We start from the raw sequence: 15,651 nt of genomic DNA on the forward strand, positions 1-15,651 counted from the left end.
CTATACTCTGTGTCCCCATTTTGTAGATGAGGAACTTGAGGGTAGGTTCAACCTAGCAACAGAGCTAGGTTCAAAGCCATGCAGCCTGGTCCCAAATCCTGCACAAATTTTACCATTACTTTTTTTTTTTACTATTACATTTTTTTACCATTATTATATTCTTAATTACTCTATTCTTACCTACCATATTCTTATCCCTATTACCTTCTATTATTACCCCCAATTTCTAGCTGAGCAAACTGAAGTGTAGAGGTGTTATAGGTTGAGTGTGTCTCTCCAAAATTCATATGTTGAAGTCCTAACCCTGGTACCTCAGATTTAGAGATAGGGTTTTGTTTGTTGTTGTTGTTGTTCTTTGTTTGTTTTTTTGTTGTTGTTTTTTGAGACAGTGTCTCACTCTGTCACCCAGGCTGGAGTTCAGTGGCACGATCTTGGCTCACTGCAACCTCCACCTCCCTGGTTCAAGTGATTTTCCTACCTTAGCTTCCCGAGTAGCTGGGATTACAGGTGTCCGCCACCATGGCTGGCTAATTTTTGTATTTTTAGTGGTGGCAGGATTTCACCATATTGGCCGGTCCAGTCTCAAACTCCTGACCTGAAGTGATCTGCACGCCTTGGCCTCCCAAAGTGCTGGGATTACAGGCGTGAGCACCTAGCCTGGAGATAGGGTCTTTAAAGAGCTAATTAAGTTAAAATGAGGCCATTAAGGTGGGCCCCAAACTAATATGACTAATGTCCTTATAAGAAGAGGACATTAGGACGCTGCCAGGTATGGAAGGAAGAACATGTGAAGACACAGAGAGAAGACAGCCATCTACGGGTCAACCTTGCTGATACCTTGGCCTCAGTCTTCTAGCCTCCAAGATTATGAGAACATCAGTTTCTCTTACTTCAGCCCCCCGTCCATGGCTTTTTGTACCGCAGCCCTAGCTAACTTCAAGAGGGATCAAATGACTTACCCAAGATCAGACAGCTAGTAAGTAGTGGAGCCAGGACATAAACTCAGCTCTTCTGCATCCAGATCACATGTTCTTATTTCTGCACTGCCAATGCCCATCAGCTAAAGATCACCAGGAACACACACTACGGGGACCTCTGCAGCATCTCAGTAGGAGAGTGTTAGAAAGGACTTAATGGATTTGGGCTTGTTTTAGGTGATTTTGTGGCAGTCTCAAGTAAGTGGGGCTTTTCTCTGGATCAGAGACTTTTAGGAAACAGACATAATTCTATGATTGGGTATCTTATCTAGAAGGAAGGAGGATGCATTCTGGCTAAATGTATGATTGGTAATGCAGCAGCTGTCACTCTTTTTTTTTTTTTTTTTTTTGAGACGGAGTCTTGCTCTGTCGCCCAGGCTGGAGTGCAGTGGCACGATCTTGGCTCACTGCAAGCTCCGCCTCCCAGGTTCACGCCATTCTCCTGCCTCAGCCTCCCGAGTAGCTGGGACTACAGGTGCCCGCCACAACGCCTGGCTAATTTTTTGTATTTTTAGTAGAGATGGGGTTTCACCATGTTAGCCAGGATGGTTTCAATCTCCTGACCTCGTGATCCACCCACCTCAGCCTCTCAAAGTGCTGGAATTACAGGCGTGAGCCACCGCACCTGGCCTAGCAGCTGGCACTCTTATTAGTCAAGATAGGGAGATATTTGGCCATCTCTGTGATTTGGGCAGGGTTTATGTTTTTGTCTGCGATAAGACACAATTATGGAGTAGTCTTGTTTTTGTGTTAATTCATCATGGTCAGAGTGGTTACATGGATGATGTACTATGAAATTGTTTGTATTCAGCTAAAGAACACCAACTAGCTGTGAGTGTCAGATCAATTCCTGGCTGTGAGGGGCTTTCCTGTTTCTCAGCACTGAGAACTGGATTTGCCATATTTCATCATATTAGCAACATCGGGGGAAACTTCTTTGTCATTAAATTTTTTTTTCAGGAAATGCCGGAAAAAACCCTATCACAGTTGCTGATAACATAATCGATGCTATTGTAGACTTCTCATCACAACATTCCACCCCATCATTAAAAACAGTTAAAGTTGTCATTTTTCAACCTGAGCTGCTAAATATATTCTACGACAGCATGAAAAAAAGAGACCTCTCTGCATCACTGAACTTTCAGTCCACATTCTCCATGACTACATGTAAGATGTTCACTTTTTAAAAATCACCCTGCTGGCTCTGATAATCACTTAGAAAATGTTTAAGTGTGAATGTACACTGAGTTTATAGTTTTCTATTCGTTTTAGGACTTTTCAGACAACTTCTTATGATCCATGGGAAAAGTATAAAAATTAGAGAATGCAACCTCCTGTCAACTGATTATTTTCCTGAGAGGCAAAATCATGCCTGGGAAATAGGAATGGTAAATAAACAGGAAGAGAATGGAAGTGAGGAAGCAGAAAGAGGGGAGGAGGCTTTGCAAATTCTAGCCAATATTTATTGATTGGTTGGTATTGACCCTCATTTCCTCTTGGAGCTGTGAACTAGCTGATTAATATTGGTCTGCTAATCATCCCCCTATAGACATGTTAGCCTGGAATAGAATCAGATGTAAGAAGGGAGTGGCTAGGGTCAGCTGGGTGTACTACATCACAAGCAGCCAGACAGATTCCAGATCCCCAGCTGCTACTCTGTAAGGTGTGTTTATACTTTAAGTACTTGTACCAACCTGTTCCTCCTCTGATTTCGTTTTCCCCTATTTTGTGGCATTTGTACTGCTATTAAAATAACTAGGATTGCAGCCTCCTCTTGCAATCACTATTTTCAGCCATTTGGAGCACTCACCCTTAAAGCACTGTGAGTTTTGCTAGTGATAAGGCACATATGCCATCAACAGCCTCCCTAAACTGAGAATGATTGTCTGCTGCTGTCAGAAGAAATGTCAGTTCTCTCTACATTTATTTCCTGACAAGCATTCTCCTTGGTGTGCTACAACACACAATACATGTAGGACACACACAATAAAAACATGAATATAATAGTTGGATCTGTTAAAGTTCTTGCAGTAGCAAATAATAGAAAGTCCATCTTACACTGGCTTAAGCAAAAAGCAGAATTCAATAACTCATGTTATTATAAAGCCCACACATTCCTGGGTTCAGGTACAGTTTGGTCCAGGTGCTCATATAATAATATCATCTAGACCCTGAATTTCTTCATCTCTCATTCTCTTCTCAGCTATGTTGTCTTTTTCCTCAAGCTTCATATGGTGAAAGCTGGCTGCTAGCAGCTTTAGGCCTACATCCTTCCATACTCAGTTTCAAGAGGAAAGAGTATATCCAGTGGAGATATACAGTCATCATCAGGAACATGATGCCAGGGAACAGAGCTCTTTTAAGCGCTGAGAGTCTTTCTGATTGGACCATTTTAGGTTATCATTGCAGGCAGGGAACCGGAATTACACTGGCCAAGCCAGAGTCACATGCTCCACACTTCAGCTAGAGGGGGTCACCATCCGAAGCAATGGGGAATAGCTGTTCCCCAGAGGAAATTCAGAAAGCTTTTACCAGAAGAGGAGAAAAGGATACTGGGCAGTTAAAAATAGTATGTACCTACTATAGTATCTAGGGATATATAAACTAACATTTTTTCCCTTTGGTCCTTGTAGATGAAAATTTTTATTTAAATTTAAGAACAGTAAATAAGTCATTATCAGTAAAGTAAAAAATAAAGCTTAACTGGTTCATCACTCTTTGCTTTCATCGAGATTTTAAACTGACTTACAAATTTAAAAAACAAAACAGTGTAGTTGAAGAGAGAAGCAAACAAAAAACTGACTAAAATGAGCAGACAACTGACCCTCTGAGACAGCAGGGTTGTCAGTGCTGTGAAAGACTGATTTCAACCTGAACTTCTGGCACCCGAGGCAAAAACAAACCACAATACAACTGCATTACGTCATCTTTGTTGTTAGAGAAAAGGAATAATACAGATGAAATATCAGATAAAAGGAAGTTTGTTGGCTCAGATAAACTGGAATTTTAGTAAGGATTTATCATATAGCCCTTTTCCAAAAAGAACTTAAAGAGGATAGCTTTGAGTTTCATTTGTGCAGATGATACACAATTACTTTTCAAATGTATGTTAAAGCTATTTATTGAGTCCAGAGATTACTTATTGAGCACCAAGTATATATCAGATATTAGAAATATAGATTTGGGAAGTCATGTGAGTAGGTGGGATTGAAGTCCTTAAGTGTGATTGGCTTAAGTGTGAGAATAAACAGTGAGGAGAGGAAGACTGGGGGCAGAACCAGGGATCTTGTTTGTTTATTTGTTTTTGTTTTTTTGAGACTGAATCTCACTATGTTGCCCAGGCTGGAGTGCAGTGGTGCAATCTTGGCTCACTGCAACCGCTGCCTCCCAGGCTCAAGCAGTTCTCTTGCCTCAGCCTCCTGAGTAGCTGAGATTACAGGCATTTTAGTAGAGATGGGGTTTCAACATGTTGGCCAGATTGGTCTCAAATTACTGACCTCAAGTGATCCACCCACCGGCCTCTCAAAGTGCTGGGATTATAGGCATGAGCCTACGTGCTCAGCTGGGATCTTGGTTTTTAATCCCACCCCCACAGGTGAGGGCATTTATCCTGAACTACCAGGAATTTGAAAGTAGAGCTTATCTTTTAAAACAGTGGTCCCCAAACTTTTTGGGCCCAGGGACCAGTTTCATATAAGACAAATTTTCCACGGACTGGGTTATGAAGGGGGTGGTTTCAGGATGGTCCGAGTGCATTACATTTATTGTCCACTTTGTTATTATTATTATTACATTGTAATATATTATGAAATAATTATACAACTTACCACAGTGTAGAATCAGTGGGAGCCCTGAGCTTGTTTTCCTGCAACTAGACAGTCCCATCTGGGGGTGATGGGAGACAGTGTCAGATCATCAGGCATTAGATTCTCATTAGGAGTGCACAACCTAGATCCCTTGCATGCACAGTTCACAATAGGGTTTGAGCTCCTATGAGAATCTAATGCTGCCACTGATCTGACAGAAGACAGAGCTCAGGTGGTAATGTGAATGATAGGGAGCAGCTATAAATACAAATGAAGCTTTGTTCTCTTGCCTGCCGCTCACCTCCTGCTGGGCAGTCTGCTTCCTAACAGGTTGTAGACCAGTGCTAGTCTGTGGCCTGGGATTTGGGGACCCCTGTCTTAAAAAACACTAATCTTTTCAAAGAGCTGTATGGGAAGAGGGCTCAGGAAAATGCCTAGCACATGGAAACACTTTTAAAAGGGTAGTTATCATGCTATTTTCTGTGAAGCCGTGGGCTGCAAGTCAACAGTGCTCCTTACTTTGATAATGACCTTCCATGTGATGCTGGGTGAGTATTCCTGGGACTCTGTTTTCTCTCCTCTAAATTGTCTAGCCGAAGTCACCTTTTGTACATAGAAGTTGGAGTAGATAGCATGGTTTGGTGTGGCTTAAGGGTGTGATTTAAATGTCTTTCCCCTCAAGAAAATACCTTTGGCTTTATGCTTTATTCCTTATTAATATACAAATACCAGCTGGGCGCTGTGGCTCATGCCTGTAATCCCAGCACTTCAGAAGGCCAAGGCAGGAGGATTGCTTCAGCCCAGGAGTTTGAGACCAGCCTGGGCAACATGGCAGAACCTCATCTCTACAAAAAAAAATAGCGAGGCATAGTGGCATGTGCCTGTAGTTGCAGCTACTGGAAAGGCTGAGGTGGGAGGATTGCCTGAGCCCAGGAGGTCAAGGCTGCAGTGATCCATGATTGTGTCACCGCACTCAAGACTGGGTAACAGAGTGAGACTCTGTCTCAAAATAATAATAATAATTAATAATAATATACAAATACCTCTGGGATGTAAAAAATATCAAGCTTAATTGGTTTTTAAGAATAATAACCCTATGTTTACAAAAGACTTGGCATTTCCTAAAGCGCTTTCAGACTCCTTACTATATTTTAACTTTGCAACAATCCCATGAGGTGGTAGATAGAGCTCATGGGATCTATCTTATAATTCCCATTACACAGATGAGAAAATAAAAACTCACCCAGAAGTGGTGTTATATGTGTTCAATGTCATATGGCTGGTCACAGGTTGAGGCTGATCTGTTCTTCTGATTCCAAGTCCTGATAGCTTCCTGCTTTCCAGCCTCAGGGCATGAAAGGAATAGAAGGCCCCCAAAAAACCTTCACCTCCTTACTTCCCAGGCTTGCCTGCTGTATTCAGGGGAAAGGAAGCAGCAGATCCAAAAGGACTGTAAGGCCTTGGACTAGAAATGATTAGGCAGAAAGATCCTGAAGGAGATGGACAGTGGGGAAAGGAAGGAATGTAGCTTTCAGAAATCACGCACCTTATTGGTGGGAAACTGCCAGAATGACTTTAAAAATGGAGTTTGAAAAGAGCTTACTGATTAGGGTTAGATGCCTCCCTGTGTCACGAGAACTTACCCTGGATGGACTTGCTCAACAGGAAGACAGTGCCCTGGATCCCTCTCTCAGGCCAGGTATATCTTTCACTAAAAATGAGCAAATTGTGGCTTTGTTTGTAAGGAAGAAATCCTTTGGTTTTTACCTGTGGTGGTGTATCTCTAATGCAGGGTGTCCGTATTCACACTAGTCCTGCTATCTTAGCAAGTTGATGTCTAGCCTTGGTGTTTTAGAAGTTCCAGGAAGCCACTGAAAACAAAGGAAACCCGGGCATGATCACCTTATGGGAAAGCATTCTCTCAGCACATCTGCTATTTTCTTTACATGGTGCTTTCTCTACTTGGTGTATAAGATGGGGTACAGAACAATGTGCTTTAAATGTCTTTAGCAAGGTAATCATTTTCAAAAAATAGAAGAGAACTACATTAAATATTACTGATAAAAGCAAAAGCATCTATAAATTAGCATTCATGTTTACATATTAGTTTCTTACAAAATTAATTCCATAGAAATCTCTGGGAAAATTACAATTTCAAGCTACAGTGGATCTAAGTTTATCTAAATATTTTATCTAGAGCATTAATGAATATATTGTGTCATATTTGTGTCAGACCATTCACTTCATCTGGATTTACTCAACTGAGGATAATAGAAGAAGCAATTGTGAAATGTGTAACTTCTCCTTTAAAGACCAGGTTTGGATGACGAGAGACAAGTGCAGAGGAGGTGCCCTGATTTTCAGAGGTCTTTGGAAATGAATGTTGTGTTTTGACCAAATGCTGACTTTCCAGGTAATCTTCCTGAACACTGGACTGACATGAATCATCAGCTGTTTTGCATGGTCCAGCTAGAGCCAGGACAATCAGAATATAATACCATAAAGGACAAGTTCACCCGAACTTGTTCTTCCTACGCAATAGAGAAGGTAATACTGTGTTAAAATTTACTGTTCAAAAATGTTGATGAACTAACATAAAAGCTATCTCTTTTTAAATAACACCCTTCCTTCCTTTGTACCTTACTATGTTTATTTTAACTGGAATTAGACTTACTCAAGTTCCATAGACTTCAAATCTCATAGTTTATTCATTAGCAGTAATGAAGGAGATTCCAAGTCACATGTGTATGTTAGGATACTTTCAGTTGCAAGTCACAAACCAACCCACTCAAACTGATTAAACAAGGAGAACTGTGTTGGAAATTAATGGAAAGTCCCAAAGTAGGATGGGCTTTGGAGAAGTCTGATCCAGCGGCTTGATGGTGTCCTGGATCCAGTTGCTCCAACTTTGCTGTCCTCTGTGTCAGCTTTGTTTTAAGGCTGGACTCTCCTTGTGGTTGTTGGATGGCTGCTGGCAGCAATTAGGGGGTCTCTGTTTTCTCATTCACAACCCATAGAAGACAACTGTGTCCTGTCCCGCAGTTACTGGACGAGAATCCCAACTACTGCAACCATCTCCGTGTCTAGGGAATACCTTGTTCTGGTTGGCTTGGGCCTGAGCTATCAGATCCCATCAATGTGTGATCCATATTGAAATCCTGATCAGTTTAACTTAATTAGACTCCATCCTAGAACTATAAGTAGGGCCAATCCCACTCAAACCAGAGGTTGCTGATGGGGTAGAATGCATGTTTAGAAGATTACCACAATGTCCACTATGCTGCATAAAAATATTAGTAAACTATAGGGGTTTATCACGAGGTCATTATCATACCATGTGTATCAGAACAGGGTGTAGCATCCTAGTAATTTAAAATCTTGTTACCGCTTCCATAGAACTGTGTACTTACCTCTTGGAGCACTTATAAAGTGGTACTTTGTAACTATGTACTTACATTACAGCACTTATAAGGTACTTTGATAACTTTTCACATACCTGGCTCCCCGACTAGACAGTGAGCTGCTTAAGGTAGGAGTCGCATCTTGTTCATTTCTTCATTCTCAGTACCTAGGAAGCTGTCTAGCACACAGTAGGACACAATATGTGTTGAGTAAACTTGATTGAATGAATGAGCTTAATTCCTGAGAAAGGGGAGCCAGGAGATAGAGACATCCTGCAGGAAGGACAGAATTTAAAGGAGGAGATACCTCGTGGTGTTAAAAGCTGTTGGAAGTACAGTCCTGGGCCTCTGAATCGATAGGTTCTGCATCCATGATTTCAACCAACCTCGGATGGAAAGTGTGGTGAGGCCTATGATGGTTGAGTGTACTTAATGTGTACAGACCTTTTCTTTTTTTTTTTCAGACTTTTTCTTCTTGTCATTATTCCCTAAACAATATAACAACTATTTACATAGTATTTGTTAATACATTTTATGAAGTAATATAAGAAATCTACAGATGATTGAAAGTATATGGGAGGATTGTGTAGATTATATATTAATACAAATACAGTACTATGTCATTTTATGTCAGGGACTTGAGCATCCTCAGATTTTGATATCTGCGAGGTCCTGGAACCAATCCTCCATGGATATTGAGGGATGACTGTACAAGAAGTGCAAGAACCTCATTTCAATTGTGTTTACACAATATCTGTGACTTTCTTGGCTCATACTTCTTTTGAAAACCCCCAACTTTGGATTAGTCCCATAACCTACCTTCTCTGCTGCTGCTCTTAGATGAAATCCTTACTAATTCATGGTCCCCAGCCTCAGCTGGACCCTCCAGGCTTCCTGGAATCCTTCATTGCTTCCTCCAGTCAACCCCCTCACACATTCCCCATTGCAAACCTTCGTTACTCTCCCGGAGGCCTCCACTACTTTCAGCAGAACAACTTTCTCACCTGCTTTTATGGCTTGGATTCTCCTCAACAGCTGCCCAGGTACTCACTCCATTCTTCTTGAACCTCTCTTCTTCCTCTGTTTCCAGAACATCATCCTCTCAGATTTCCTCCTCCTTCCCCAGACACAGGTTATCTGGAGCCCCTTCCTATATTTTCATAGCCCCTTGTGTGTTCTCCTGACCATCCCTTATCACTCTGAGCAGTAGTGATTAGTTTTCTTGTCTTGCCCACCACCCCCATGCCATTAGACTGAATGTTTCATGAGGACAGAGACCCAACACAAACTTGATTCATAGAGATGTTCAGTAGGTGATGACTGAATGGATGTTAACTCCATTTCCTAGGAGGAAGGAGAACCAGTAGAGGGTGATATTTTGAAAAGAAGTGAAAGAAGAGCAGAGTTTTAAGAAGGGGATGGCTCGTGGTTTGAAATGCTATTCAGAGGTCTAGAAAAAAATAGTCATAAGATTAGGCAATTATGAGGTGATCTGTGACCATAATTGGAGCAATAACAGAAAGAATTGTTATGAGGAGAAGCCACATGGAATGAGTTGGAAGATGAGGAGTTAAGGACATGGCTATTGAATGACTACAAATTTTTGAGTAGGTGTTTGAATGTCAGTGAATCTCCAGGAATTCCAGGGAATATATGTTGGTAATCATTTAGATATAAACCGCAAATTATGTTATTTAAAATATATACCAACAAGCACTATTACAAAGCATAGACACTAATAGATACTTTTAGCCCATCTTTCTCTAAAGGCAGAAAGCTGCCTACTCTCTGAATTTGCTGTCTATTTGTATTTTCTTCTCCTTTTCCTTCACCAAATTCTCTTCCTCTTCCTTCTTTTTCATATTGCTTATTTTAAATCCACAACAAGTACAATATACTGAGCCCCAAGGTCCTTTCTGAAATATTTTGTCTTTTGTTACCTGCAGATTGAGAGGATACAGAATGCATTTCTCTGGCAGAGCTACCAGGTAAAGAAAAGGCAAATGGATATCAAGAATGACCATAAGAATAATGAGAGACTCCTCTTCCATGGGACAGATGCAGACTCAGTGCCATATGTCAATCAGCACGGCTTTAATAGAAGTTGTGCTGGGAAAAATGGTAAGGAAGCAAGTAATTTGGCTGATCAGAATAAGGCAAACAATAGTCTCAGACTTTTCATACCCAAGCAGTGTGGAACCATGGTGGGCAGCTGTATTATCACTGTCAGAATAGAGCTCACTGTGTTTCACTGTAAAGGAGACTGGCAACCTTCTAAGGGAAGATGGAGTGAATTTTAGAAATGATGAAAAATAACTTTAACGTGCAGTTTTTTTTTTAATGGGCTTTTTTTTTTAGACGGTCTCATTCTGTCACCCAAACTGGAGTGCAGTGGCAAGATCATGGCTCACTGCAGCCTTGATCTCTTGAGCTCAAATGATGCCCCCACCTCAGTCCCCTGAGTAGCTGGGATTACAGGCATGCACCACTATGCCTGGCTAATAATTTTGTTTTATTTTTGTAGAGAAGGGGTCTCATAATGCTAGCCAGGCTGGTCTCGAACTCCTGGCCTTAAGCAATCCTCTTGCCTCAGCCTCCCAAAGTGTTGGGATTACAGGCATGAGCCAACACACCTGGCTAAAACTGCATTTAGAAAACAATTTTGTCAGATTGGGCATGGTTCTACACATTGTGTAATTTTATATTCTTAGGAAGGTTTTTGTCTTTCTCTTTCCAGCTGTATCCTATGGAAAAGGAACCTATTTTGCTGTGGATGCCAGTTATTCTGCCAAGGACACCTACTCCAAGCCAGACAGCAATGGGAGAAAGCACATGTACGTTGTGCGAGTACTTACTGGAGTCTTCACAAAGGGACGTGCAGGATTAGTCACCCCTCCACCCAAGAATCCTCACAATCCCACAGATCTCTTTGACTCAGTGACAAACAATACACGATCTCCAAAGCTATTTGTGGTATTCTTTGATAATCAGGCTTACCCAGAATATCTCATAACTTTCACGGCTTAAAAATATTTTTATCATCAAAGAGATGATTTAAGTCATCTGTAAGAACAACATGCAATCTTTGTCTTTGCTTCTGGCCTGTGTAAGCAGATGAAAGTTTCCCTTTTAGGTGCCAAAATGCTGAAAATTACCTTTTTAAAGTGCTCTATTGCTGCGATTTGTAGCATACCTTTTTTTCTCAGCAAATTGATGGGTGGAAGCTGAGAAATGTATGGTAAATGTCACAGAGCTACAACCATTCACAGACACCAAATCTCTAGGAGAATAAAAAGCACATTATTCTTTTTCTATCAGAAAAAAACAAGATGCATCACCTTAAAACCAAGATGACATTGTTCTTCTTGGAACATGTTAAGACATCGAATGGTGGCGGGTTAAACTGTACTGCTTAAGTGGAGCGGCTACCGTTATGCATCTATCACAGTTGGGGATTTTGCCTTATTAAGGAAAACTTGTCAATAGTTCAGCTGAAATGACTGAATCACAGAATATTAACTCTGTTATGGAACAAATCATAACAGATTTTACCTGTTTACATTTCAGGTAAAAATGTATCGCATTGTTATCTAATATTAAAAAATTACCCCCAATTTTAGTGACTTAATCCCACACAGTCTTTATGGGTCAGGAATTCAGGCATGGCTTACCTGGATCATTCTGCTAGGGTCTCTCTGAAGTTACAGACAAGATGTCAGGGGATGTGGTCGTTTGAAGGCTTGTCTGGGCTGGAGGTCTATTTCCAAGGTGAATCACTCACATACCTGGCACGTTTCTGTCAGGTATTGGCAGTCCTCAGTTCCTCTCCTCTCAGGCCTCTCCACAGGCTGCTTGAGTGTCCTCATGACACAACAGTTGGCTTACTCCAGAGTGAGCAACTCAAGAGAGAGCAAGGCAGAAGCTACCAAATCTTTATGTTTGAAGTCATGCACCATCTTTTCCACGAGTATCCTGTTGATTATTTTGATCAGCTTGTTCAGTCTGGGAGGGAATTGCACAAGGGCATGAATACTCCACTGGCAAGGATCATTGGGGGCCATCTTGGAAGCTGTGTGAATGAGCAAATGAATGCACAGATAGAATATTAGCAGTGACAATGATGCTAGAGGTCACCTACCCCACTGTCCTCTTGTCCTTCTCCCCCAACCCTCCCCTGCTCCCAGGCAAGAAGCCCTCTAGCCTCTGCTTGATCACTTTCAGCACTCAACATCTTCAGGGAACCTATTCCGCCGTGGGACAGTGTTAATTAGTGGAAAACTCTTTTTCAAAAGTTGAAATCAGTTCCTCTGTGTCTATTACCTGCTGATCACTGTCCAGACTTCTGGAGGACACAGAGCAAGTTTTATTCCTCTTACTGATGGTAGCCTTTCAGATCCATCCCTTCCCTCCAGTATATTAGAGTTACGTAAATTCTTAAAATGCTTAGCAGCTCATTTATCCTGAAGCATCACTTTTGAAGAGTTACAGACATTTAAGAAGTATTTACATTATCATAAATAAATTACATGCGCATTTAAAGAGAACAGAAAAGTATAAAGAAAAATAACTCACCAAACTCACTCATAATTCCAGCACTAAGGGAAAACCACTGCCAATTTCTCATGTCTCCCTTCCAGTTTCTTCTCTGTCCAAATTCAACAAAGTCAAAATCACATTTTGTTCTGTCACAAATCATATAATATTATTTCTACCATTTTTCTTTTTTTAATCTTTTTTTATTATACTTTAAGTTTTAGGGTACATGTGCACAATGTGCAGTTTAGTTACATATGTAAACATGTGCCATGTTGGTGTGCTGCACCCAGTAACTCATCATTTAGCATTAGGTATATCTCCAAATGCTATCCCTCTCCCCTCTCCCCACCCCACAACAGGCCCCGGTGTGTGATGTTCCCCTTCCTGTGTCCATGTGTTCTCATTGTTCAATTCCCACCTGTGAGTGAGAACATGTGGTGTTTGGTTTTTTGTCCTTGCGATAGTTTGCTGAGAATGATGGTTTCCAGCTTCATCCATGTCCCTACAAAGGACATGAACTCATCATTTTTTATGGCTGCATAGTATTCCATGGTGTATATGTGCCACATTTTCTTAATCCAGTCTATCATTGTTGGACATTTGGGTTGGTTCCAAGTCTTTGCTATTGTGAATAGTGCCGCAATAAACATACGTGTGCATGTGTCTTTACAGCAGCATGATTTATAATCCTTTGGGTATATACCCAGTAATGGGATTGCTGGGTCAAATGGTATTTCTAGTTCTAGATCCCCGAGGAATCGCCACACTGACTTCCACAATGGTTGAACTAGTTTACAGTCCCACCAACAGTGTAAAAGTGTTCCTATTTCTCCACATCCTCTCCAGCACCTGTTGCTTCCTAACTTTTTAATGATTGCCATTCTAACGGGTGTGGGATGGTATCTCATTGTTGTTTTGATTTGCATTTCTCTGATGGCCAGTGATGATGAGCATTTTTTCATGTGTTTTTTGGCTGCATAAATGTCTTCTTTTGAGAAGTGTCCGTTCATATCCTTTGCCCACTTTTTGATGGGGTTCTTTGTTTTTTTCTTGTATATTTGTTTGAGTTCATTGTAGATTCTGGATATTAGCCCTTTGTCAGATGAGTAGATTGCAAAAATTTTCTCCCATTCTGTAGGTTGCCTGTTCACTCTGATGGTAGTTTCTTTTGTTGTACAGAAGCTCTTTAGTTTAATTAGATCCCATATTTCTACCATTTTTCATTAAACATTACAAGTTGTTCTCTTGTGTTCTTATTTTTTCTGTAAACATAATTTTAATGGCAGAGATATTCTGCTTTATATCTTTCCCTATTTTATGTATATAGAATTATAAAGTTTTTAAAAATGTAATCATCATTATTTATAGTTTAATAATCAGTTTCATCTTGCAGTGTATCATTTTCCTCGTCATTAAATATTTTACGTATCATTTTTAATGGTTGCACCGTATTTCATTGCCTGTTTCTACCTACATGTCATGTCAAAATAAGGTACCTATATTTTTGATAAATATGAGGTTAGAATATGAGATGCAAAGATCCTAGTCTACCTTCAACAAGACAGTTAAAATGCTCTATTGCTGCAATTTGTAGCACGCCTGAAGGAAATATAGTCCCAGAGAACAAAGTATGGTTAAATAATGCAGTTCCTGCCTGGGCCTTGGTTCTCAATACCAGTGCAGAATTCTAGTGAGCCATGTTAGAACAAGAAAGGACTCCTAGCCTGGGCAACATAGGGAGACCCCATCTCTACAAAAATAAAAAAATTAGCCCAGCATGGTGGCGCATGCCTGTGGTTCCAGCTGCCTGGGAGGCTGAGGTGGGAGGATTGCTTGGAACCAGGGGGTCAAGGATGCAGTGAGCTATGATCCTGCCACTGCATTCCAGCCTGGATCACAGAGCAAAACCCTATCTCAAAAAGAAAAGACCCTTTTACTTAGGTTAGGTGGACTCTTATTTACAATGTCTGCTGCTGACTTGTTGCCTCCTCCAATGTTGTTACTCAAGGATGTTGTTCCCCAGTTTATTTTGCTGTACCCTTACTTCAGGAGTAAGACACAGAAGCTTTGACTACAGTGGGCCGGGCGTGGTGGCTTATGCCTGTAATCCCAGCACTTTGGGAGGCCGAGGCGGGTGGATCACAAGGTCAGGAGTTTGAGACCATCCTGGCTAACACAGTGAAACCCCGTCTCTACTAAAAATAGAAAAAAAATTAGCTGGGCGTGGTGGCGGGCGCCTGTAGTCCCAGATACTCGGGAGGCTGAGGCAGGAGAATGGCGTGAACCTGGGAGGCAGAGCTTACAGTGAGCCACTGCACTCCAGCCTGGGCAACAGAGTGAGACTCTGTCTCAAAAAAAAAAAAAAAGAAGTTTTGAGTAAAGTATACCCATGTTATTAAAGTTGTTATTCTTTCTTGAGGAACAAACTATGAACCAATCAATAATTATAGTTATTTAGAAATTCTACCTTCCATCAGTCTGAAGCTAAATTGTATCTTTCCATCCTTTAAGTCCATCTCCTTCCCACTTGGCTTGATGTTTTCTCTCTATATGACTAGAATGGTCTCTACTTTTATCCTAAGAACTAACTGTTATCTAGCTTAGTATCAAAATTAGAAGTCTTGTCAAACTGTTAATTACTGAAGAAATCCATCTCTTTTCTCTGTATCTTCAGAGTTCAAGCAAATGGTACCTGATTAATCCAAGACCAGAGACCATGAGCTCTAATTCTGGACTGGCAGCCTTCTTTCACGGAAGGCTTCACGGTCTCAAATATCTTCTCTTATTGCTTTTCTTACCATTCTTCTCCTTCTTATTCCTTTTTTTGTTTCTTTTAATTCTTTCTCTCACTTGTGGAAAAAAAGGACACACACTCTGCTTGGATGAATCAGAGGAAATATTTTCATTTTTTTCTGCACCAATAGTAGATAG

At 40.9% G+C, this 15,651-nt stretch overlaps 1 protein-coding gene across 16 annotated transcripts in view, besides 1 other annotated feature; it reads left to right on the forward strand.

Moving 5' to 3' along the window:
- Positions 1–14,158, forward strand: part of PARP15 (poly(ADP-ribose) polymerase family member 15) — a 61,398-nt gene extending 47,240 nt beyond the window's left edge. For 10 of the 16 annotated variants that reach the window (NM_001113523.3, XM_011512476.4, XM_005247160.5 and 7 more), the window contains 4 exons: positions 1,938–2,144; positions 7,197–7,330; positions 10,131–10,305; positions 10,922–14,158. In NM_001113523.3, the coding sequence (NP_001106995.1) occupies positions 1,938–2,144; positions 7,197–7,330; positions 10,131–10,305; positions 10,922–11,211 (806 nt within the window). In that variant the 3' untranslated portion in view covers positions 11,212–14,158. The remainder of the gene's footprint in view (positions 1–1,937; positions 2,145–7,196; positions 7,331–10,130; positions 10,306–10,921) is intronic. The other 6 variants (XM_005247159.5, XM_047447580.1, XM_017005791.3 and 3 more) reach the window with 1 other exon arrangement.
- Positions 10,204–11,403: an enhancer, noted in NCBI's record as "CDK7 strongly-dependent group 2 enhancer chr3:122353940-122355139 (GRCh37/hg19 assembly coordinates)". NCBI's record gives its function as "activates an origin of replication core promoter dependent on BRD2, BRD4, P300/CBP, MED14 and CDK7 cofactors, with strong dependence on CDK7, by STARR-seq in HCT116 cells {active_cell/tissue: HCT116}" and the evidence as "EXISTENCE:reporter gene assay evidence [ECO:0000049][PMID:35650434]".
- Positions 14,159–15,651: the final 1,493 nt, after the last annotated feature.

Source organism: Homo sapiens, chromosome 3 (assembly GCF_000001405.40).
Source record: "Homo sapiens chromosome 3, GRCh38.p14 Primary Assembly".
NCBI lineage: Eukaryota > Metazoa > Chordata > Mammalia > Primates > Hominidae > Homo > Homo sapiens.